The sequence below is a fragment of the Homo sapiens genome, chromosome 13, assembly GCF_000001405.40.
Source record: "Homo sapiens chromosome 13, GRCh38.p14 Primary Assembly".
Taxonomy (NCBI): Eukaryota; Metazoa; Chordata; class Mammalia; order Primates; family Hominidae; genus Homo; species Homo sapiens.
The window spans coordinates 108,849,488-108,874,897 of record NC_000013.11 but is presented as its reverse complement, the minus strand read 5'-3'; the positions used below and the strand labels follow the sequence as shown (position 1 = coordinate 108,874,897).

The following is a 25,410-nucleotide window of genomic DNA, read 5'->3' as shown; positions in this document are numbered from 1 at the left end:
GATGCCAGAGGCTCCAAGTGCCCTGGGCTGCTGGTTTCGCACTATGCTATGAACATCTCACTCTGTAGGCCTGGGTAGGTGTCCTATTTGTGAACTGTATACCTATGTATAGGTGACATGTTTTGAGAAAGTATGTGTTTGTGTTTACAAAAGATCACATATAATAATAATAATAATAATAATAATAATAATAATAATAATGATGATGATGAAACTGTCTGCCTCTGGGCGCAGCACTTGTGCTGCTGAGAGAAGCCTGCCAAGCATTCGCTCTGGAGCTGCATGACCTGGACTTTAATGCTAGCTCTGCCACTCATGGGAAGACTTTAGAAAATCTGTTTAACCTCAAGTCTCAGCTTATTCAACTGCAGAATAGAAATAACAATTCTTATACTGATTTGCTTGCCTTTTGAGATGTGACAATAAATGTAAAGCCATTTGAGGCAGTTCTGCCATGTAATAAGCACTAAACAATGGCAGCTGTTTTCATTTCCTAGAATTTCAAATATTATAATTTTTTTAACTTCTTGCTCATATCAAATTGCATGGCGTATTTCTCTAAATAGTCCTATATATTTTTTAAACCCCATAATGTGGCTCTAGTCCATTCTTCTGCTCATCAGAATCTTACTAATTTTTTAAGATTTGCCCCGATCACATTTCTTTTTTTATTGTGATGCTTTTTAAAAAAAAACCTGATAGGATTTACTCCCTTCTAACCTCTTGACTTGCCAATTAGGGTTACACACCCTCAATACAGCTATTTAATTGTTGTTCTCAGCTAGAAGTGAAGTATGTGATTTTTTCATTGTTATTTGTGTTTTGTCTCTAGCATGTCTACACAGTGCTCAAGGATGAGGACACTGTAAGTACCTAAGGCAATGTATTTCCTTATAGAGTCAACAGATGTTTGTTGGCTTGATGATGCATTTTTGTTTCTGATTTTAAGGTTGCTTTTTTGTAAAGCCCATGCAGGAACATCTGGCTTTCTATTTTCTCTTTCTCCCCTACATGTAACATGTTTAAAATGAATGATATTACGTGTCTCCAACATAAATAGGCAGCACAATCATGGACCCTGTCCTGGTTGGTTGGCATGGACCCTGTCCTGGTTGGTTGGCATGGACCCTGTCCTGGTTGGTTGGGATGGACCCTGTCCTGGTGGTTGGCATGGGCCCTGTCCTGGTTGGTTGGCATGGACCCTGTCCTGTTGGTTGGCATGGACCCTGTCCTGGTTGGTTGGCATGGACCCTGTCCTGGTTGGTTGGCCTGGACCCTGTCCTGGTGGTTGGCATGGACCCTGTCCCGGTTGGTGGAACGGCCTGCTGACTCGCCCGCTGTGACCCGCATCTCGGCAGTGGTGGTTGTTAGTGTCAGATCAGCACTGCTGTGGCAGCAAGCAATCTAACTGGGAGGGCTGCCTGCCGCCTTGTGTAGACATCAGTCTCGAAATGAAGTTTGCCTCAAGAGTGTTCTCCGTCCATGATTAATAACTTGCTAGAAATAAAAATGAATGTTATGCAAAGGCTTAATATAACAGAGTTAATGATAATGAAATAAAACTAAAATGCAGATGTTATATGTGAATTTCTTTTTAAATATGAAATGGAGAAGTCATTCTCCTCGTCTTTATAATCTTTACAGATATAATCATATTTAATGTTTTATTTTTTTCTTGTAAAGTAATTGACATGGGAAGAAACCCAAATATTTGAACAAAATTTGTCATTTAAAACAACAGACATAATACAATGATAATAACTAGAAACAAAAAGAAATAAATTTTTGTTGTGTGGCCTGAGGACAACAAGATCGTTTTAATGAATATCTGATAGGTGACTACTTGATATTATTTACTAGGCACTAATATTGCTACAGGGAATAACCACTAATTCAATGTAAAATGTATGTCCTTGCAGCAACCTAATATCTACAATTTTATGGGTTGTTACCTGTAGGCAAGGAGAGCACAAACTATTTGATTCTACATAATGGATGTCAAGTCCAGAAGGACTAGACACTTTCACCTTTTCTCATGACCTATAAAAAGCAGGTAATTTTATTGTAAGCTTTATATCAGTGCATCTTTTACCTGATATATTTTTTGTATTTATTTTCCATTTTTATTTTATGACATTTAGAAATGATGAATATAAAAGGTGGTGTGTGTGTGTATATATACATATGCAAATTCATTTTATAAAATCATAATACTTATATATTAAATACTTAATTCATATATATTGAAACATATATAGATTTTATTTATATAATTACATAAATTATAAGTTGCATTAGCCATTTTCAGTTTTAATAAACTATTCTGGTAATGATCTCAATGTATTGTATCTTATTCTTACATTAATAAACAAATATGTCTCTTAATGTGTTTCTCCTTTTCTCTATGAATGTGTATTTCTGAAAAAACTGCAAATACAACGTATTATCTGAAGCCCTAATACTACTATAGTGTCAGTACTTTAAAAACAAACATACCACAAGTTAACAGTTTTTTTCCCATCACAAGATACAATATAGTATGACAAACTGTGTCATACTATAAAAAATATTATGTTAAAGTTTGGCTAATACTCAAAACTTTACCTCTAGATCCATAGAAGCATCCAAATAAGAGTCATTTTTTAACGTTTCATTCAATTATTCAAAGCTGACTTTTGTCTCACTGTTAATTCTTGTTAACTCTACAATCAACTGTTACCATAAACATAAGCCAGAAATAATATTATCAATAGTAACTTTAAATTGGGTGCGTTTCTCTCTCTCTTTCCCCTCCCACCCCTTGGTGCATACAGAATTAAAAAATTAGAGGCATGAAATGCCAAACTAATCTAGGTATCTGAGGGCAAATAATCTTCTGACACCAATGCAATAAAAACAGATGTAGTCTCCTTTACCCTATAGCTGTAATGAAGCAGCTAGTATCAGTCAAATTCTCCTAACCATGAACAATTACAAAGACTGGATAAAATACAAATCAAGCATCTAATGGCAGGGATAGTAAAATCACCAAAGCAGCAATGTCTTAGGGAGCTAAGATCTTGAAGAAAATCAGGATGCACCGGGCCACACGGGATCTTTTCCATCCCCTCCTCCCAGCACACAGTGCCGCTGTGCTGAGTGTCTCTCAGCAGCATCACAGAAAGTCACCCTAAGTGTCTCACACTCAGCAGAGATTTGAGCAGCCTCACACAGTACTGGGGAGACAAAAATCCAAGTTCAGGGTTCAGAAACAGAGGAAAGCCAAATGAATATCAGCCCAACTTTCCACCTGAGACCCGTAAGGGGGCTCAACTTTTTGAAGGGAGCAAATAAAAAAATTAAACGAGACTTCACAAGGTCAAGGCGGTTTGTCTACAACTTATGTGCCTGCTAGGAGGAAAAGTCAAATCTTCTTGGAAGGAAGATAATGTCTTCCTGGGCCCTATGGTTTTTTTATATGGAAAGTTCAATACTCCATCAAAAATCTCCGTGGATGTCAGTAAATATATCCATATATGTAAAACCAACACACAGACACACACACACACACACACACACACACACACACACACACAAAGTCACATAGTAGAAACAGACCTCAATATTAGAGTCATAAGACACAGGATTAAAAATGACATGTTCAAGAAAATAAGTGGCATGATGAAGACGAAGAATTTCACCAGAAAACTGGAAACCCTAAGAGTTTAAAATAAAAATGTTAGCATTGAAAAAAATCATATAACAGACATCTGCATTTTAAGGAATGATTTTATCAGCAGATTCAAAACAGCAGAAAAGAGAATTTAAAATATGGCCAAGCAATTATCCAGACTGTGGTCAAAGAGAAACAAAAGTAGAAAACGAAGATTAATTCGGTTTATATTTCTACAGACTTTCTACATATATACATATATATTTTTTATAGAAAGAAATCACAAATAGAAACAGATAATACCTTAAACTAATTGATAATGAATTTATAAAATAGCAAACATGTAGAATTCAGTAAAGCTACATTTAAAGTAAAATTTAAAACCCCCAAATACTTATTTTAGGAAAGGCAGGAAATCAAGGATATATCTATACAACATAAACAATAATCAAATTATACCCAAATAAATTAGAAAGAAGGAAATTTTAAAAACTCAGAAAAGTCACAAATTACCAACATATGGAATAAAAAGAAGGCACTCAAAATTCTACAAATTTTAAAAAGATAAATAGAACTATGAATAATTCTATGCCAAAAACTTTTGAAGATTAAATATAACATAATTTTTTAAAAATGCAATCATTAAAAACTAGCACAGAAAGAATATGAACTGTCCTATGTATGTCAAAGAAATTAAATCCAGAACTAAAACCTTCTTGCAAAGAAAATACCAGGCCTTAATGGTTTCAGTTGTGAATTCTTCCAAACATTTAAGAGAGAAACACCACCAAATTTACAAACTCTTTCAGAGACTAGAAAACAGAGTACACCTTCCAATTCTCTTTATGAAACTAGCATAATTTTGACATAGAAGATTTTTTTAATAAAAAAAAGAAAAATTGGAGGCTTATCTTTTTCATGAACATAGATGCCCTCAGCAAAATATTATTTAATAGACGTCAGTAATATAAAGAAAAGGATAAAACATCAAAATGTAAGGTAGGTTTAATATTTCAAAATCAGGAATTATAATTCACAAACAAAATAAAGGAGAAAAATATTCATATCAACAATTGGTACAGAAAAAATACTTACATTTGATAAAATTCAATACGTTTTCTATGAAAAAGACTTCTTAAAACAGCAATAAAATGAAATTTCCTTAATCTGATAACTGGTATCTATGTAAAATTTATAATGATTTTTATTCTTAAGGTTTAATTACTAAAGATTTCTCCTGAGATAAGAAATATATATATATTTTTAAATGAAATTATTAATAGTATCTGACATTATTCTGGTGATCCAATCCAATAACATAAGAACAGATTAATAATAGGATTTTAAAGAAAGAAAGAAAATTATTATTGTTTCAGGCAATAAGATTGTGTACACAGAGTATTTTTAAAACACACTAGATAATTTTATAGCTAATAAATTTTACAAACTTGCTAGTTTAAGGTAAGATTTTTTATGTGTGGTTTCTTTTTTTTTTTTTTTTTTTTTTTTTTTTTAGAAACGGAGTCTCGCTCTGTCGCCCAGGCTGGAGTGCAGTGGCACGATCTCGGCTCACTGCAACCTCCGCCTCCCGGGTTCACGCCATTCTGCTGCCTCAGCCTCCCGAGTAGCTGGGACTACAGACGCCCGCCACGACGCCCGGCTAACTTTTTTTTTTTTGTATTTTTAGTAGAGACGGGGTTTCATCGTGTTAGCCAGGATGGTCTCGATCTCCTGACCTCGTGATTCGCCCGCCTCGGCCTCCCAAAGTGCTGGGATTACAGGAGTGAGCCACCGCGCCCGGCCAAGGTAAGATTTTTTAAACTGTTTTTATACATACATGGAGAACACACCAGTGGAAAATAACATTTTTAAATGATTATTTATAACAGCATTTAAAAACATTTAATGAACACTATGCAATATATCCTCCAGAAGAGCACACGGGATGATACACTGAGAGGAATTTCACATTTTAAAGACCTTAATAAATGAATATAGTTAAAAGACTCAGTACTACTAACATTTTTTGTCTGTTTCTAAATTGAACTGTAAATATAATGCAATCAAATTCAAAATCCTAGGGGGAGTCCCCTCAGCGCCCCAAAATTGACAAGCTGATTCTAAACCTTAAAGGAAAAGGCCAGTAATTAATTGCTAGGGCAAATTTGAAGACCAAAGGTGGATGACTTAAGAGTACGAGGCATAAAAATGTATTTTAACAGACCAATCAAACTGAATGGAAATTCTATATCCATTTATGTATAGTTACTAGTTTTATGCAAAAGTGCCAACATAATGTCCCAGAGAAAGGATTTTTTTTTTTTTTTTGACAGAGTCTCACTCTGTTGCCCAGCCTGGAGTGCAGTGGCACGATCTCGGCTCACTGCAACCTCTGCCACCCGGGTTCAAGCGATTCTCCTGCCTCAGCCTCCCAAGTAGCTGGGTTTACGTCACCTGCCACCATGCTCGGCTAATTTTTGTATTTTTAGTAGAGATGGGGTTTCATCTTCTTGGCCAGGCTGGTCTTGAACTCCTGACCTCATGATCCACCTGCCTTGGCTTCTCAAAGTGCTGAGATTACAGGCGTGAGCCACCGAGCCCAGCTGAAAGATGGTCTTTTTAATAAACAGTACGGTTTCAGGTTAATATACATTTTTTAAAAATGAATCTTGACCCCTACTTCTTGCAAGATGTTTTCAATATGCATTGAGAATCCAGAATGCTTAAAGATCTTTCAAGTCAATAAAAAAGGTAGATGAACCAATTTTAAAGTTTTTAATTTTTAAGCAGGATAAAATCCTGAAATACACGCATCACGAAACAGGATATAACTGTACAGTAATTATGTGAAAATGTGGTTAATCTCATTGTCTGTCAGAGAAACACAAATTAGAGCAATAAGATTCCACTATATATACCCAGTAGAATGATAAGTAAACAAATGAAATATGACCAAGGAAGAGAAGCAACTAGAATTTCTGTATTAAGTTGTAGATATACCTTAGTACAACCACGCAGAAAATTGTCGATATTTATCAAAACTGATTGTATGTATACACTTTGATGTACCAATTCCACTCTTTCCAACAAAAGAAATACATATGTTATCAAAAAAAAATTGTGAGGATGTTCATAGCAGTAATATTCTTGCTTCAAAAGACAAAATCTCTGTCAATAGTTAATTAAACTGCCATATATCCACAAAAGGAAATTTTATACAGCCATACAAAATACAATAACCTATTGTACTTATTGTATTGCTACACACAAAAACATGGGTGAATCTACCTTCCCTAATATTGAAAGGAAGCAGCCAGGTACAGAGAAAGATAGTCTGCAAGATTTCACCCATATAAAGTTCAACCATGCAAAGCGGAGGGCGAGAGTAGTTGGAATTGTACTGTCTTTTGGGGAGGTATGTCACGTTTGACACAGGGCATGGGAGACATCTATGATCCTGCTAATGCTCTATTTCTTCATCTGCATGATGGTTTTTAGAGTGTCATGACTTTTATAAATTAGTTGAACAGAAGATTTAATATTTGTATGCTATGCAATATTTATATTATACGTCAATACACATATTCACAGAAATATTAATTAGGACTCACAAAGTGAAAGATACAGAACTGAGCTTTTTCTCAAAACCATTTAATAACCACATGTCAGATTAATTTCAGTCCTTGGATGAAACTCCTGAAATGATCATGGGTGATTCCCTTGCCCTAGCGTCTCATGCTCACACACACCCTTAGATTGCACAGGGTGAGGTTGGCATAGGATTGGGAGGAATGAGGAGGGTAGGCAGGTTTCAACACAGCTTTAAAGTAACCATGGCACTGACTTTTTAATTTAATTTAATTTTACTTTATTCTATTTAGAGACGGGATCTCAATCTGTCTCCCAGGCTGGAGTGCAGTAATACAATCACAGCTCCCTGTAGCTTCAACTTCTTGGGCCCAAGTGATCCTCCTGCCTCAGCCTCCTGAGTAGCTGTAACCACAGGCACACACCACCACAGCTGGCTAATTGTTTTTGTTTTGTTTTGTTTTGTTTTGTTTTTTGCAGAGATGGGTCTCTCATTATGTTGCCCAGGATGGTCTCAAACTCCTGGCCTCAAGTGATCCACCAGCCTTGGTCCTCCAAAGTGCTAGAATTACAGGCATGAACCACCGAGTCCAGCCAGAATTGACTTTTGATAAGATGGGTGGAGGGTGGGGTGGTGGATGCTCTCTTGTTCTCATGAACTATTTCTGTGAAAATACATATTTGATTTCCTAGGAAGTTGGAGGAATTTCTCTTTTTTTCTCTCCTCTCTCTGTCCTCCTCCCTGCCCGCCACATCTTATGAGTGAGCCCCGGCTTCAGGAACATATACCCACTCCCTGCCTCCTGGTTTCAGGCAGCCTCCTGTTCTGTATTAGCGGAACCAGCCTTGTTGTTACACAAAAAATAGCTCCTATGATATAGTATTTTTGACCCATTTCTACTCAAAAATCATACTGCATTTTCAATTGACTGGAATAATTTTCTACAAGTAATTTCTCTTTTAATTTTTAGGGCCTCATAATTACACTTGGCAAGTCATTTGGGAAAACGTAAACATGCAATATTACCCTTTTTTATTCCCATTGCTTTAACATTATAGAACTCTTCAGAAATAAGTCACGTGTCCAAATAAGGGCTCTAAGCCAAATGATCTTGAGTTAGTGAAAAATGTATGGAAAATATACTTACATATTATTTAATTTTAGAAGTCTGTCTAATGGCTATAGTCATAAACAAATTACACATTTTAAGTGCAAAGAAACATTTTGATAAAATAACTTCGATTTTCAAGGTTGCTCAAAATGAATTAAAGTCACTGCTACACAATCATTCAATTCAGAATTTAAAAATGTTTTTTAGAAGTTTGCCTGTTTTTTTTAGTCATTTGATACAAACATGTATGACTAGAAAGTATTACTCTACATTATTCAATGATATTTAAAATTTTGTGCTCACCATGGAAGAATAAATTGGAAGCTCCTTGTATGGGTTAACAAGCAAAAGAATGTCTCCAATGAATGTCTGTGAAAAAAGGGATGCAAACAGTTCATGAGTCATATAAATAGCATCTTTAAACAATAAAAATCATACAATTTAAAAACCAGTGTATGAAATATAAATAATAAGAAAAAATCTACTTTAGTATTTTGCTATTTTTTAATATTTTGCAATTTTTTTAAAGTTTGGAATTTAAAATATTAAATGAATTAAATAATTCAAATTAAATAAAACAGGCTTTATTTCACTGAACATAAGAGAAATGAAATAGTTAAATTCTAAGAATTTCTTTTCTTAAAAGATTCTGTGAGAATGAAACAATGAAAAAATATAGACTTAAAACATATGACAAAATGCCTACGAAAAAGTCAATGGAGTAACAAATTCTGTTATTCTGCTACAGAATAATAAACTGCATAAGTGAGAAGTTAGTAAAGCACAATAATCAAATAAAATACTTTGTTTCAATTAAAAAGTGACAATGAGATACAAAGGCACAAAGTACAGATGGAACAAATAAAAATAATAAAATGATAGATTTAAACCCAAACACCAGCAACAACATCAGTTGTAAAGGTACCAAATACTCCAATTAAAATACAAAGATTATAAATTGTATTAAAATATGAAAGATGACTACTTTAAAGAGAAACATCCTAAACATATAGACTAAAAAAAAAGGGAAAAGGATGAAGCAAGGTATGCATGCAAACAATAATAACAGCAAAGAAGGTGACTATGGAAATAATTAATTTATAGAAAATGTGCTTTTGGAAGCAGTACCAGAAATAAAAAGAAACATTTCAGAGTAAAATGATAAATCAATCAGGAAGAAACAACATTTCTAAATTTCTAGAAGACTAAAATCTAGCATCACATATATAAAGAAATAACATATAAGGAGAAAAATATGAGTTCACAATTATAGTGGAACATTTTAACCATTTTTCTTAGTAATTCATGGAACAAGCAGACAAAATTTTAAAGTAGTAATTACCACATTGATCAATTTATTTATATAAAACACTGTTACTGACAAGTTGAACACTGGCTTGTTTCATTAAACTTAAAAGATTTGAGTCACACAGAGTATGTTCTATTACGGTAGAATTAGGATAGAATATTGTCTTCTGAACTCTGTGTGAAGGGCCTTAATGTCACCCACCAGAAAACTAAATCCGAATAAATGCTTTCCCTTTTTTTAAAAAAAAGAATATTATACTGGTGTTAAAAATTAGCTAAGAGAGTAGAGTTTTGGTGCTCTTACTACAAAAGAAAAAGATAACTATGTGAGGTGATGGATATGTTAATGTGCTGCACTGTAGAACTCATTTCACTAAGTGTATGTACATCAAGGCATCATGGGCAGGTGCAGTGGCTCAGGCCTATAATCCCAGCACTTTGGGAGGATGAGGCAGGAGGATAGGAGGATTGTTTGAGCCCTGGAGTTCAAGATTAGCCTGGGTAACATGGTGAGATGCTATCTCTACAATTTTTTTTTTTAATTATCTGGGCATGGTGGTGCATGCCTGTCATCCCAGCTACTCAGGAAGCTGAGGCAGGAGGATCACTTGATCCTGGAAGGTTGAGGCTGCAGTAAGCTGATATCTCACCAATGTATTCCAGCCTGGGTGAAAGAGTGAGATCCTGTCTCAAAAACACAAAAACAAAAACAAAAATCCAAACAAAACTCATGTTGTATCCCTTAAAAATATACAATTTTAAAATAGGTTATTTTAATTAAAAAGATACTGAAGTCACTAGTAGGTACCTAGAAAATCACCAAACATTTTGAAATTTTACAATATATCTGCAAATAACTAATGAGTTAAAAAGGAATTAAAATGCAAATAAGACTATTTCTATTATATCATAACTTGTGGGATGCAACTAAAGGTCTACTTAAGATAAAAATTATAGCCTAGAATACTTGTTAGAAAAGGAAAAAAGGAGTGATAATTAATGATCTAAGTATCAACTTCAAGGAGTTTAAAAAATTACATCAATTATAAAGAAATAAATGAGTAAAATGAATGAAATAATATCAAAGCAGAAATCAATGGAATAGGGTGAAAAAAGCCAAAAGGTGATCCTTTGAAAAATGTACAATTTACCCCAGCAAAACTCATTCAGAAAACAAGAGGAAATGCACCAACTACCAATAGCAATCAGTAATATGACATCAAGACAGATTGTATGGATGTAAAAACAGATGAAGATGGTATTATGAACCATAGTGTAGCCACTAAATTTAGAAATTAAGGTCAAGTAGACAACAATCCTAGGAAAATACATCATACCAAAGCTAACACAATAAGAAACAGAAATTCTAATTAGTTATTTCCCTATAAAGTGAGCTGAATCTATGTCTAAAATAGTTTTCCACAAAGAAAACTTAGGCTTCACTGGTGAATTCTTCCCAACATTGATGTACAAAATAAACAAACATTCTACAGATTATTTCAGAAGATAACAGAAAAAGGAACACTTCCCATTTTAAGAACAACACACAAAATTGACATTAGACTCTAATAGGAATATTGCAATAAAGGAAAATTACAGGCTGAACTCTCTCATTAAAATACATGTAAAAATCCTAAGCAAAATATTAACAAATTGAATCCAGCAATTTAGTAATAATGATAATACACCTCAAATAGCTTTATTCTAGAAATGCAAGGTTGGTTTCTAATTGAAGATCAATAATTGTAACTAATAATATTTTAAAAAACTTAAAAAGACATATGATCATCTGCATAAACAGAGATAAAGCATTTAATAATATCCAATGCTCATTATTGATTAAAAAATAACTTTGAAAATCATGAATATAATGGGACTTCCTTAATCTAATGAAAAGTAATGATACCTATGGCATAGCTACCACAAATTTCTTCATGATGAAACACTCAAAGCTTTTTTCTGGGATTGGCAATGGATAGGGCACTTATTATCGACACTTCCAGTCTTTTTAGTGAAGTTCTATCTCATGAAGTAATGCAAGAAAAAAAGGTATGACTTTTTCAAAAAAAGAAATAAAAGTCATCATTTGCAGACTATATGGCATTGATGCAGAAAACCAATGGACTGTTTATGTAAATTAATACTGACATATAACTTTAGCAAGTTTGATGGATAAAAAATGAATATGAAAAAATCAAAATTGTATTCTCTATATATTACCCGTGAACAATTAGAAAATAATTTTTTCTTCTTATTTTCCATAAAACAAACAAGCAAACATTTATTATGTCCTCAAAATATGAAGAACGCCAATAAGCAAATTTAATAATATGGGAAAGACTTCTATACCAAAAAATCAAAATTGCTCCAGAGAAATTAAAGATGGCCAATAAAAGGGCTATAACATTTTGTGAAATGAAAAATCAAATATTGTAAAACTCTCAATTATTTCCACTTAATCTATATATTCAATGCAATACCAATACAAATCCAATTGAAATTGTTAAATTAACTTTAAAGTATACATGAACCAAAGGTCATGATTAGCTAACACATGTTTAAGAACAAACTTAGGGGACTTTCTATTTGTCAGGATTGACTATATAGCTGTAATGATCAAGATATTTGGTGATTTGTTTAGGAACACACGGACCAATACAAAAGAAAACAGATCCTAGAAATGCACCCACTCCCTGGGGTCACCTGTTTAGGACAAAGGTGCTGTGATCATGCAGCAGGGAGACACATGTGGGAACAGTTTTAATCTGGATCCTCCTCCTTCACAATTGTGAAATCTTTTCCACATGGGTAATATGGTAGCCTTGGGTTTGGGCCATAATCCCAAAAGACACCACCCTAAACAACATAATCCTGGATGCTGAAATCCCAAGAGAGTGAAATACCTAAAGTCCAAAATCCTGCAAGTCAAAATCATGATGCAACTCTTCTGCATACAACCAAAACCACAATAATCCTTTCCCTAGAATTCAGCTTTCAGGATTTTAACATTCAGAATTTTATTCTTTCAGGATTGTGATTTGCAGGATTATAGATGTTTGGCATTTCAGACTTTGGGGATTTTGATTTTTGAGGATTTCGATCTTTTGAGATTTCAACATTCTAAATTATGGCATTGGGGATTGTGTCTTTCAGGATTATGATCAGCACCAAAATATCTTAACTGTAAATGCTAAAATAATAAAATGTTATAAAGAAAATGTAGGAAAACATTTTCATAACTAATGCCAAGCTTTCTTAAACAGGTCACAAAAAGTATGAACCCTAAAGAATCTGTAAAATTGTACACTTTGCTTCTTTTAAATACGCTATTTGAAGAGTACAATACAAGCCATAAACTGGAAGAAAATGCAATATGTATGTTTCACAACAAAAAGAATATCGTGAATACATAAAAACTCCTATATATCAAGAAGAAGAAAGAAAACCCAATTTTAATGGCACTATAACTGAACAGGCAGTTCACAAAAGAAGATAATCAAATGAACAACAAACACATATTAATATTTTCATTTGTTAAATCAGAGAAATAGAAATTAGAAACACAATAAGCTACCACTCTACAACTGCCAGAATAGCTGGAATTTGAAAAACTCTTAGTGAAACAAAAACACCATTTATGTCAAAAGCAATTGGGTTGTATCTACCAAAGCTGAACATATTTTATGATGCTGGCATTCCACTCCTAGGTAAAGACCCCATAGAAGTACTTATGTGGGCCAAAAAATAAAAAGGTGCAAAACTGTTTATATTATTCGTAATTACTAAAAAAGTGGAAACAACTCAAAGTTTCCTCAAGTATAGAGTGGATAAATTAGAATATACTCATATAGTAGTTTATTGTACATAAACAAAAATTAGTAAATGCTTTTACAAGCAACAGTATAGCTGAATATTAGAAACATAATAATGAGAGGAATACTACAAAACAGATTGCATTTATATAAAGTTAAAAAACACAGACAAAACCAATCTATAGCTGTAAATGTCAGAATATTTTGTAATGACTAAGTGTGGATTGGGAGAGGACTTCTCTCTTCTATTACATTATGAAGCTGCAGGTTACGTGGGTGTGTTCATGAAGTAAAAGTTCATTAAGCCATATATTAATGAGTTGTATATTACCTTGTTTGTTTGTCGTTATTTAATACAACATTTATGGGAAAAAATGATTGCTCAGTATTCTATACCCAAGTAAATAAGAAAATAAATAAAAGTGAAATAATACATCTGCAAGGACCTTACTAATGTAGTATCTGAAAACTCCTGTTAAATTCCAGAGAAGAAAAATTGAGCTAGAAAGCAGATTGTGAGTGAATTTAGAAATCTGTTGATTAAGAAAGATGTCCAGAATGGTACTGCCTAGGTTGTCTTCCTGGGTTTTTATAGTTTTGGGTTTTACATTTATGTCTTCAATCCATCTTGAGTTAATTTTTGTATATGGGGCAAGGAAGGGGTCTAGCTTCACTCTTCTGCTTATGGTTAGCCGGTTGTCCCAGCACCATTTATTGAAGAGGGAATCTTTTCCTCATTGCTTGTTTTTATCAGCTCTGTCCAAGAACAGATGGTCACAGATGTGCAGCAGTACACTGTTGTTGGGAGTGTAAATTAGTTCAAACATTCTGGAAAGCAGTACTGTGATACCTCAAAGAGCTAAAAGCAGAATTACTATTCAACCCAGCAATCCCATTACCGGGTATATACCCAAAGAATTATAAATCACTCTACCATAAACATACATGCACACGAATGTTCATGGCAGCACTATTCACAATAGCAAAGACATAGAATCAATTTCAATGCCCATAAATGACAGATTGGATAAAGAAAGAATGGTACATGTGCATCATAGAGGACTATGCAGCCATAAAAAAGAACAAGATCATGTCTTTTATGGAAACATGGATGGAGCTGGAGGCTATTATCCTTAGCAAACTAACACAGGAACAGAAAACCAAACTCATGTTCTCCTTATAAATGGGAGGTAAATGATAGGAACTTATGAATGCAAAGAAGGAAACGGTAGTCACCAGGGCCTACTTGGCCAAGGAGGCTGGAATGGGGGAGAGGAGCAGAAAATATAACTATTGGGTACTGGACTTAATACCTGGGTTATAAAATAATCTGTACAACAAACCTCTATGACACGTGTTTACCTGTATAACAAACCTTTACAACCCAAACCTAAAATAAAAGTTAAAAAAAAAAAGAGGCTCTGCTACATTAACCTGGGTCACCCGGAGTGGCATGTTAAGTGGCTGAAATGAGTGAGGCTGTGTACTAGGAGCTGTCATGCGATGCTTTATTGCTCTGGTTTGCTTTTATCCAATTACAATATATTTGTTTCAGAATTCTCTTGGCTAACCAGATGTTACAGGAGGTCTTGTGTTTACTTTGTGGGGTTTTTTTTATGAGTCTCAAGTCCCACTAATGTGCTTGTAAAATAAATACTTCCAGCAAACTTCTTTGCTGTCCATAAAGGAATTTGACTGCATATTCTGTTCTCTCTGGGGCTGCTGGCAGTAAGTATTCAGAGAATGCAACGCTTGTATTCTGTGCATTTCCTGGCGAGCATGTGTCTCATCACACGCATTTCATTTTCTGTTTGAAGGTTGGAGAACTCCCTAATACTGCAGACTGTGGAAACTCCCTAATCTAACGTCCAAATAGAAGGTTATATACTTAGTAAAAAGGCAATTTACAATCTGTTTTGAAAGATCATACTATAAAAAAAATCGGACTGTAGCAAAAAGAGATGAAAATCCTGGTCAAATGATTAAGTCAGCTAAAATATTTTATCTTGGCTCTGAAAACAAATCATTGCTCAACCCTCAGTTATTTGGTATGGATGAGTAAATATTAACTTCTTTCTCTCGTCTAAAATTAGGGTTTTGGTTGAGGAAGTCTACTTATTTATTCAATATTTATTGGGAACCTATTATGGGTCATACATAGCAGTGAACAAAACAAGAATTATTTTCCTTATAGAACTTGCATTCTAGTGGGTATGGGCATGATAGAAAGAGAGAGACAGACAGTCTGTGTTTGTAGGGAGAATCAGCACATGGTATTTATAAGAATCTAAATAAGAAAAATATACAGTATGTTAGAGAGTGGTAAGTTTGTGGAGGAAAACATATGAAGGCAGAAGGATAGGAAGTGCATTTTGCGATTTCAAATAGACTGGGGGCTGGCCTCCAGAAGCAATGACATTGATATGAAGACCTGAAGGGAGGGAGGAATGGGCATATGGTGGTCAAATTACTCAGGCAAAGCCCTGCACCGAAGTGCTGCCCATACTCATGAGACACCAAGGCCAGCAATGTGGCCAGGGTAGAGGCACCCAGGGTAGGGTGCCAGCATCTGACGTCAGAAATTCAAAAGGTAGGGGGAAAGCGTTGCGGCTTTATGAGCCTTTCCTCAGACTCTGGCTTTACTGAGTGAATTGGGCATCTTTTTAGCAGAGAAGTGTCATAATGCAATGTGCATTCTAACACTGTTACTCTGAATTTTTGTGTTGAGAATAGACAGAGGGGAGGTCAAGAGAAGCCCAGACACTTATTTGCAGGATAAAATGCAAGTGCAAAATGCAATTGCTGTAGGAAGATATGTACCTGGAGGCAGCAGTGGGGGTGGCCTTCTGTGTATAACTTGAAGGTAGGGCCGGTGACATTTGCAGGGAAATCAGATGTGGGGTGTGGAAGGAAAACCAGCATCAACAGTCTCACCAAATGCATTGGCCCAAGAAGTGACAAGAGTGGGGCTGCCATGAGCCAGGGAGGAAAGGCCATGAGACGTGCAGGTTGGAAGAGCTCAAATGACCAAATTCGGGTATTTGAATTTTGAGATTTCTGTTAAACTAGTGATTTTCTATTTGTGGGGAAGGATCACTTGTTTTTAGTCCCAATTAATCATGGACTGATACCTTTGTAAAACATAATAAAAAGAATTACTAAAAAATGTGATTAAAAGACATACGAAGTTCAAACTCTGATTCTTATTAACTCCAACAGATAGGGATTAAACCAACAAACTGCTGGAAGAGTTTCTGTAAAAACACTTATTTTCACTACACACTGGTCATAAAATATTCATATATCTACTAGTCCACAGACAACACATTGGGAAGCACATATTGTCATTTAATCCATAATGTTTAAATTGCTTGTCTACCCATTAGAGGGGATTTCAGACACCATAATGTAAAGCATTCCTATTACAAAATTGATCCTAATCGATTGAGCTTTTCTGTATTTTAGGAATTGAGCAGAAGAAACCCGTGCCTCGCACAGTGGCAAATTTATGTTATATGAACATTCGGAAAGCAGAGAGTAGTATTAATAGTTCAGGTGATCAAGAAAGAGAGAGAAACTGACTAGAAAAAAATTATTTAAGAAGATAGTCCACTGTGTGGAGGAGCTAGAGGCAGGAGTTTGATAAAAACATAGGAAGTATTTGCTGTTTAAGAGGGAAACAGCAGAAAAACTCACATAACGAACTCCATTTTGTTAAGCTGCTTTACCTATTCTTGCACATGGGCTAGGATCATCTTAAAGCACTGAGATAATAATGCAAAAATAGCAATTGTGTAGTTTTTACTCTGGGATTAAAGGAGAAGTGCATAAACAACTATGTTTTGTCAAAGATTTCTAGGAAAGTTGTAGCCTGACAAGGACAAAGTTCCCAAGTCCTTAGACCCTCCCTGGTCCCCAGATGTCTATAGTCCTTATTCACCATTTGATACCAACACCCTCCTCTTCTGCATATGTCCCTCCCATAAACACCCTCTGGCCAGCCTGAAAAATTGGAGAAGGTACGTTAGAACACTAGTGTACCATCTTTTCAGTTTTGCTGGCTTTCCAAATAAACCTGCTTTTCCTCCCATCAACCTTGTCTCTGGTGTTTGGCTTTTGAGCAGCCCAGGAACCAGATGTTAACAAACTACCAATGAGTTACAGAATAACCAACTGTGATAAATTCTCTAAAGGCAGATAGTCCATGATGATGTAATCTAGAAGCTCTGGGAAGGTTTACTTAAAGAGTGGGATTATTTGAGTGGGAGTTTATAAAGCTAACTATTTTGTGGAGCAGAAAGATAACTCTAGGAGAAACAAACAAACAAAAAAACAGTCTAAGGAAAGTCCTTGATGCAGGAAGGCAGGCGATAATCAGGTAATTTAGATATAAGTGAGGAAGAGTCCTCAGTGACTGTTCAGGGCATATCATGAGGATTCTAGCCTCTGGAAGAAGGGTTGCGCTCTTTGTTCCATGAAAAGTGGTGGGCCATAGAGAAGATTCAAGACTGGGAGTTTTGAGATTACATTTGTGCTTTATAAAACTTACTCTAGTTCATTGTGAGATTGGATTGAAAAAGAATGATGAAGCCTCCCCTAGAAAGTTAGGAGGTTGTTAGAGAAGGGAAGGTAATGGCTTTGATGAGGGTGCTTACCACCGGGGTGGAGAGAACCAGATTAAATGCATATTTAGATGAAATGTCACTTTAAAGGCACAAATGGGTAAAGAAAGACAAAAGAAATTAGGCAATGGTCTTCCAGGCTTCTATAATTAAGACAAAAAAAATCAACACAATACTGGGAAAAAAGATGAAAAAATGTTATAAAAATACACACTTTACAAAAGTAACAGGGTGATAACAGAGACCAAAGTAATCAGCTCTCACCACTTTATGCCAATGACATGATTTCATTAATTTTAACAGAAGTACTTAATTTTAAGTGTATTTACAGTGGCAGGCAATTTTTCTAAGCATTAAGATGCTACATTGCATTTTCATAGGCTAATTAGCATTTGACAATTTATTACTTGTAAGGAAATCTCAGACTTCACATTTACATGAAAATTACTTAATCAGTTCCTCAGTAGACTAGAAAAAAAACAAGTGTTATCAAAAAGGGATAGCTGGTATATGCATAATCAGATTTCTTTATAGACATTCTGATTGAATTACTCTGTGCTCTGTGTAGAATATAACAAAATCAGAGAGTGGAAGAGAAAAAGAAAGAGAAAGAGAAAGAGATTGATTTTGATGTTACAAGGTGCCTAAACTGTTATCAGTGCTGGGAAAGTAACATACAAATAACGATAGAACCGCAGTAAATAAATTCTCCATGCTGTCATTTGAGTAATATTTTCGGATTCTACTATCAGGAATCTGTGTATAAATTATTTACTTTACAAAGACATTTCCTGGTAATTCTGAGCCACAACAGTTTCTCTTCTTATGCAAATAGAGATGCAGTCTTACCTGCATAGTCAATGTATGCTCTTTCGCTTCCTGTTCCTGATCTAGCAGGTTCAAGAAAAGTAGAGGAGACAGACAGCAATTTTATAAGTCATGTGCAGATCCTGCTGGTTCTAGCAAGATCTTCCACAGCAATCATGACAACAGGAAAGTTTAATAGCAGTACTTGTGTCTGTCCACAGGGTATTAGTTCATACTCAGCTCCAGAATTTGGAACTGTGCTGAATTTGCCTTATAACTGAGCCAGAATGAAGCTAAACTCACCTTAAGAAATTCAACTTCAGCTATCACCACTACCAGAAGCTCCAATGAGCCCTTTACTTGCAACATTTGAAGCACTGAAGGGTGATAAAAATATGCAGCAAGAGAAAAACAGTGCAAAAGGCAATTTCCAGGGCACTCACATAGATCTGATTGTTCCCAAAGCGCTTCTGAATCTCATAGAGCAGGCTGCCATCATTGAGCTCGCTGAGCGTTGCCAGGTCATCGTTTGGGGCAGGAGGCATTAGCTTGACCTGGGGAAGAACCGAAAGTATGATCAATTCTAATTGCTTTCCAATCAACTTTCTTCACAGTTGGATGTTCCACTTTCAATTACCTGTCAAACATTTGAAGACAACCTGAGTTAGGAACTGTTATTAAGAGATGAAATGGTTCAATGAAAAAGAAAAAAAAAAAAAACTCTAAAGCCACAGAGCAATGTATTCAGATGAGAATTTTTGTGCTATACTCCCCAGTGTGCAGGTGCACACACCCTGTCTGTTAGCCCAGGCATTAGGTCTGTCAAGATGAGTTCAGCATGTTGACTTTTCTTATTCCCTACTGATAATTTAGACAGCTCTGTACTGTTCTCAGTTCTCTGGAAGATAAGCAGTGGAACACCTCATATATCCGTAGTGTTCCCTAAGCTAAAGCAAAACTTTTCATGTTACCATTGTTGGCATGGTAAGGAAGAAATGTGTACGGAATTTAGATTCTGCATTCATGTAGGATGAGGCCAGGTTTTAAAGGTAGACTTCAGATCTTTCTATTCTGCTCTACATTACTTTTAAGATTAAGGTAGCTATGAGATTAAATAACTGTCATAAAGAAAAAATACTTTCCTATTCAATTTAATATGCCATGAATGTTTAAAGACTGCAACATTTCAAATAAAAAAGATAAATTTGGATTCTTCAATTAAATGAAAATCCATTATTTTCAAATTAGAAATGGGCAATTTTAATTTTATATACCCAGAACATGCTCAGAAAAGTAGTCATTTGATGTAATATGGTAGTAGTGTTTTTTTAATATCACACACAGAGGAGCAAAAGAATAAGAATATTCTTATCAATGTGAGTTCTTTGATACTCCTAGTAAATTTTTAATAATTATCATTTGTATTCATGTTTGTAGTCTATATTTGCATTTTGTATTTGTATCTGTATTATATATTATTAACAGCATATGCCATTGTTAAATAATTTGAACATAAATATTTCTGCTTATCATGTCTATGTAGTGTAAAAAATACTAAACATCTTTAATAAAACTAAATTTAGGACTATTTTTTCTGATATTAGTGGATATTTCGCAAAGTAAAATCTTTCCCATGAGTTCATAAAGTGGGCTTATTTTCTCCCCAGGCTTTCTAAACCTAATGCATTAATAATAGAAACACAGGCCGGTGTGGTGGCTTACACCTGTAATCCCAGCACAGGGAGACTGTGGTGGGTGGATCACTTGAGGTCAGGAGTTTGAGACCAGCCTGACCAACGCGGCGAAACCTCACCTCTACTAAAAATACAAAAAAAATTAGCCGGGCATGGTGGCACATGCCTGTAATCTCAGCTACTCAGGAAGCTGAGGCACGAGAATTGCTTGAACCCAGGAGGTACAGGTTGCAGTGAGCCGAAATCCAGCCACTGCACTCCAGCCTGGACAACAGAGCAAGACTCCGTCTCAAAAGCAAACAAACAAACAAAAATACACACACACACACACACACACACACACACACAATAATAGAAACACAAATTGAGTAGTGGGCATGTTGAAAGGTCAGAACATTTTTTTTATGAACTCTAGTTAGAATGGTGGCAGGCAGCAAGCTTTATGGCACTGGAGTTCAAACCATTTCTATAAGCAGGAAACACAATATTCCAATAGATGAATGCTTATTAAAAACTAATTTGTAAAATATTCCATTAGCTGGGCATGGTGATGTGCACTGTAGTCCCAGCTACTTGGAAGGCTGAGGGGTTTGGGTTATTTAAACCTAGGGGTTTGGGTTTGAGGCTGCCGTGAGTCATGATAGTGCCACTACACTCCAGCCTGGGTGACAGAGCTAGGCCCTGTCTCAAAAAAAAAAAAAAAAAATCTAGATCTCAGAAATATCAACAACAAGCCTGTACCCTTCCCCACCAAGATGCACAAACTCAAACACCCTGAGTTCATTATTTTAACTACTTTGCAACATTTAAAGGAAACGTATTTCCAAATATCTTTCAGCATTAACCTACACCAAGCATATAATATAGTTTTCCTAAAATTAGTTATTTAATGTTGGGTTAGGGGCATAGCTTTAAGGCTTTGATGCTGTCAGAATTATCTACTTGAATCGTTCAGGAGTTGCAGCCAAAAACTGGTACTTTTTGTTGATAAAAATAGAAGTCATAATGTTCCAGCTATGCCAGTGTTTCCTGGGTTGTCAAAACAATTTTGAAATTGTTTGATATCAACTTTTTCACATTATACACTGAGTTCCACTTTGCGGAGTCTCATAGGCACCGAGCGCTACCTAGACTGACAGCTCTCAGAGAGAGGCGCGACCATAGAAGTGATGCTGCCTTCGGCGTAGCCCTTAGGCGAAGGAACTGGTGGTCTTGATCCAGGCAGTTTTTAATTCTGCTTTCATCGGTCACACAAATTCAGGTCAATATCTTAGACATGAATTTGAGCTTCCCTACTTCAAATGTTAGAAAATGCGAGCTCATCTACCTCTGAAACATCAATTATTTGTATTCAGCTGTATGAACAACAGTGTTTAAACCCCAGTTGTACATCTTCCAATCTGTGAGTTCTTGAATATTTTTCTACCTTAACATCATGAAGCTGCTTTTCATTCTCTATGTGATGAAACATAGTCTATACTTCATAAAGTGGTTGAGGGAATTAAATATATGAGGAAAATTTGGCCCAGTGCCTCCTCTGCAGCTAAGTGTGCCTCATTAGTGCCCTTAGTAACACATGTAGGGGCCACGGAGACCATGTAACTTCCTACCAGCTTCCCTTGGAGCTGTTGGCGGGAGGGATGCGGGTGAGTGTGGAGGGCCCTGGGTCTGTCCGCGCTGTTCTCAGCAAAGATGCTCAGCTTTCCTTTGCTTTAGGAATCAGAGTTCTCGTTCACGTATTTCTTTCTGAGGAAGGTTCTTCTGCTGAATAACATTTTTTTAAAATTTTGGCATTCATTGTTATAGCATCCTTATTTAAAGGATGAAGAACTTAAGGCCCAGAGAGGACATGTAGTTTTTCTAGGGTCACACAGCTGATAAGTCAGAAGCAAAACTGGCATGATAACCACTGGGGAACAGGCGGAATTCCAGTGGATAATGGAAACATCTGATGACATCTATTCAATAATGGGCCAAATTTCCCTTGCTTACCTTCTTTGTTGGCCATTGTGCTAGAGGTTTAGCACAAAGAGGAAAAAAGGAATGATGTTTGTGACTTCCCCTACTGGGGGGCTGGGGGGAGAAGTTAGGACAGAAATAAGAAATGACAAGTACAAAATGTACGTGAAGGGAAAAACAGGATGCTTTGAAAAGAGAAAAATTTCACTTTAGATTATCTGAGAAGTCGTCTTTGAAGAGGTCACGTTGACACTGAAATTGGACATAATTTTAAAAGGCAGTACTGTGGGATGTGGGGAGAGATGTCTCTGGGAGAGGGAAGGACATGGTGAGGGCTGTAAGGTCGGGAGGAGATGGGTGTGTGGGAGGCCCTAGAACATGCCCTGGCGTGGAGGAGGTGGGAGGAGGCAGCAGCAGGGGATATTGAAGGAGCTGGAAAAGCTTCCTGGGCCCTGAGGAAGAGCTGCTACATTCCAGGAATTAGTGAAAGTCATGGAGGGGACTGAGCATGGGGACCACAAGACCAGTTTCACGGTGCTAAGATGACACCCTGGCAGCTACAGCAGAGAAAAGGCGGGAGTGGTGAGACCAGCTAGCAAGCTCTAGAAAAAGGTGGCCCAAGGAAGAGGTCAAAGAGGAGGAGGAATGGATTGGACTTTGATTAATTTAAGAAAAAGAGGAGCTGCCATATGCAACTGTATGCAACTAAGTTGCACTTGATTTCCTAACTAGAATTGATTTAGACAAGATTGAAGGTTTTCTTATAGAGATGGATAATTTTTACGCAGTCCAGGATCACAGACTGGAATGCTTGCCTTTGGATATAAAAGGAATCTAGAAAACATGTGCAATTAGGTAAGAATGTATTTTCTAGAGGAGAAATCACTTGTGGCAAAAGTCATTATGTAGAGAGACACATGAAAGGGAGCTTTCACCATCAATTTAGGGATGGATGTAAATATATTTTCTTTTTAATATCTTTGCAACATTTCTGCAAAGTACATAAACTTACACACACATATAGACAACCCCCAAAACTATGTAGGCATGCACGTATGCATGTACAAAAATTAATCCATATGCATATTCATACATGTACATAATTTGATGTAAATCAATAAATGATTGCAGTAACTTTGAGTAATGCAAAAAGAAGGCAAAACTCTCCAGCAAGTTAGCATACATCTTTAACTCCTAAAGAAATCATAAAAAGAGGAAAATCAAGAGTAAGATTTGTGTTTTCTTCAGGAGTAATGATTTATGCTAAGATAATAAGATCCTTCTTACAGTCACGATGCTAACAATTTCAATGCAAATTTCTGTGTGCACATTTAGCAAAAACATGAATAGTACTAACAGAAGTTCTGCATTTGTTCCAGCAAGCCTGGAACAGCTATCACAGACATCTCATTGGTATTCCTGTGGATTCTCGTTTTCAGTGGCACAGCTGTTACATGGGTCAGAGAAAGTACTAGGCTGACACTAAAAATGTGACTACTCCCTAGCCTGTTTATAGTTACACAGTGGGGCAGAGCCAGTGTGAGAGCAGATCAAGGGAAGAGTTCCTTGCATTTCTCACGTCAAGATTCCAAAATGACCTGAAAGGAAGCTTTGATAATCAATCTTAAGCGAGGCTATCAAAGGAGCAGATTCTTTATAGATTTCAAAAGCATTGTGACAGCTGACAAGTAGAAAGAAAAGTAAAAAATATGTCTGTGAATGTTTTTATGTTGCAGTTGTAGGCTGAAAAGTGGGCACCACCAATGTCTACCAAACAATTATAACAATAATTACCAGATAAGTACAAAAGATTGCCTGTCCTCTCCAAAATTGACCATTATGGTTTTTATTCTATATATTTCTAAAAGGAGAGATCTAAAACACAAGATAGGCATAATTTAGAAGACAAGGAAGAATTCAGGGGAAACACCTTGAGAAATGTTTTGCGATCCAAAGCTAATTTAAGTTTTGAAAGTATTCTGAATTTGCTGATCCCTCGTCTCCATTGTGTGGACGCTGTTTTGAGTACCATGGGCTTTACCATGTTGTCTTGCGTTTGCTTGTTTGTGATTTCTCTCTGGGAGGTTGGTAGCACATGTCCAGGGAGTAGAAGCCCAGGGGGCAACAGAGATGGTCTGACCTGTGGGATCAGGGCAACAGGATTTGGAGGAAGGCAGTCTAGGCGCAAATAACCCAGTATGGATAAGTTACACACACAAAAAGAGGAAATTCAACAGGATTTGGAGGAAGGCAGTCTAGGCGCAAATAACCCAGTATGGATAAGTTACACACACAAAAAAAGAGGAAATTCAACAGGATTTGGAGGAAGGCAGTCTAGGCACAAATAACCCAGTATGGATAAGTTACACACACAAAAAAAGAGGAAATTCAACAGGATTTGGAGGAAGGCAGTCTAGGCGCAAATAACCCAGTATGGATGAGTTAAAAAAAAAAAAAGAGGAAATTCAACAGGATTTGGAGGAAGGCAGTCTAGGTGCAAATAATCCAGTATGGATAAGTTACACACACAAAAAAAGAGGAAATTCAACAGGATTTGGAGGAAGGCAGTCTAGGGGCAAATAACCCAGTATGGATGAGTTAAAAAAAAAAAAAGAGGAAATTCAACAGGATTTGGAAGAAGGCAGTCTAGGCACAAATAACCCAGTATGGATAAGTTACACACACACACACACACACACACACACACACACACACACACACACAAAAGAGGAAATTCAACAGGATTTGGAGGAAGGCAGTCTAGGGGCAAATAACCCAGTATGGATAAGTTACACACACACACACACACACACACACAAAGGAGGAAATTAAAAAAAAAAAAGACTGTGTGTTAGA

The 25,410-nt window shown here is 36.0% G+C and overlaps 1 protein-coding gene across 5 annotated transcripts in view; it reads right to left on the bottom strand.

Annotated features, from left to right (window-relative positions):
• Nucleotides 1–25,410, bottom strand: part of MYO16 (myosin XVI) — a 712,290-nt gene that overhangs the window by 333,108 nt on the left and 353,772 nt on the right. For all 5 annotated transcript variants that reach the window (XM_011521062.2, XM_047430183.1, NM_015011.3 and 2 more), the window contains exons 11-12: nucleotides 19,345–19,455; nucleotides 8,656–8,721 (exon numbers count right to left, since the gene is read on the bottom strand). In XM_011521062.2, coding sequence (XP_011519364.1) covers nucleotides 8,656–8,721; nucleotides 19,345–19,455 — 177 coding nt within the window. The remainder of the gene's footprint in view (nucleotides 1–8,655; nucleotides 8,722–19,344; nucleotides 19,456–25,410) is intronic.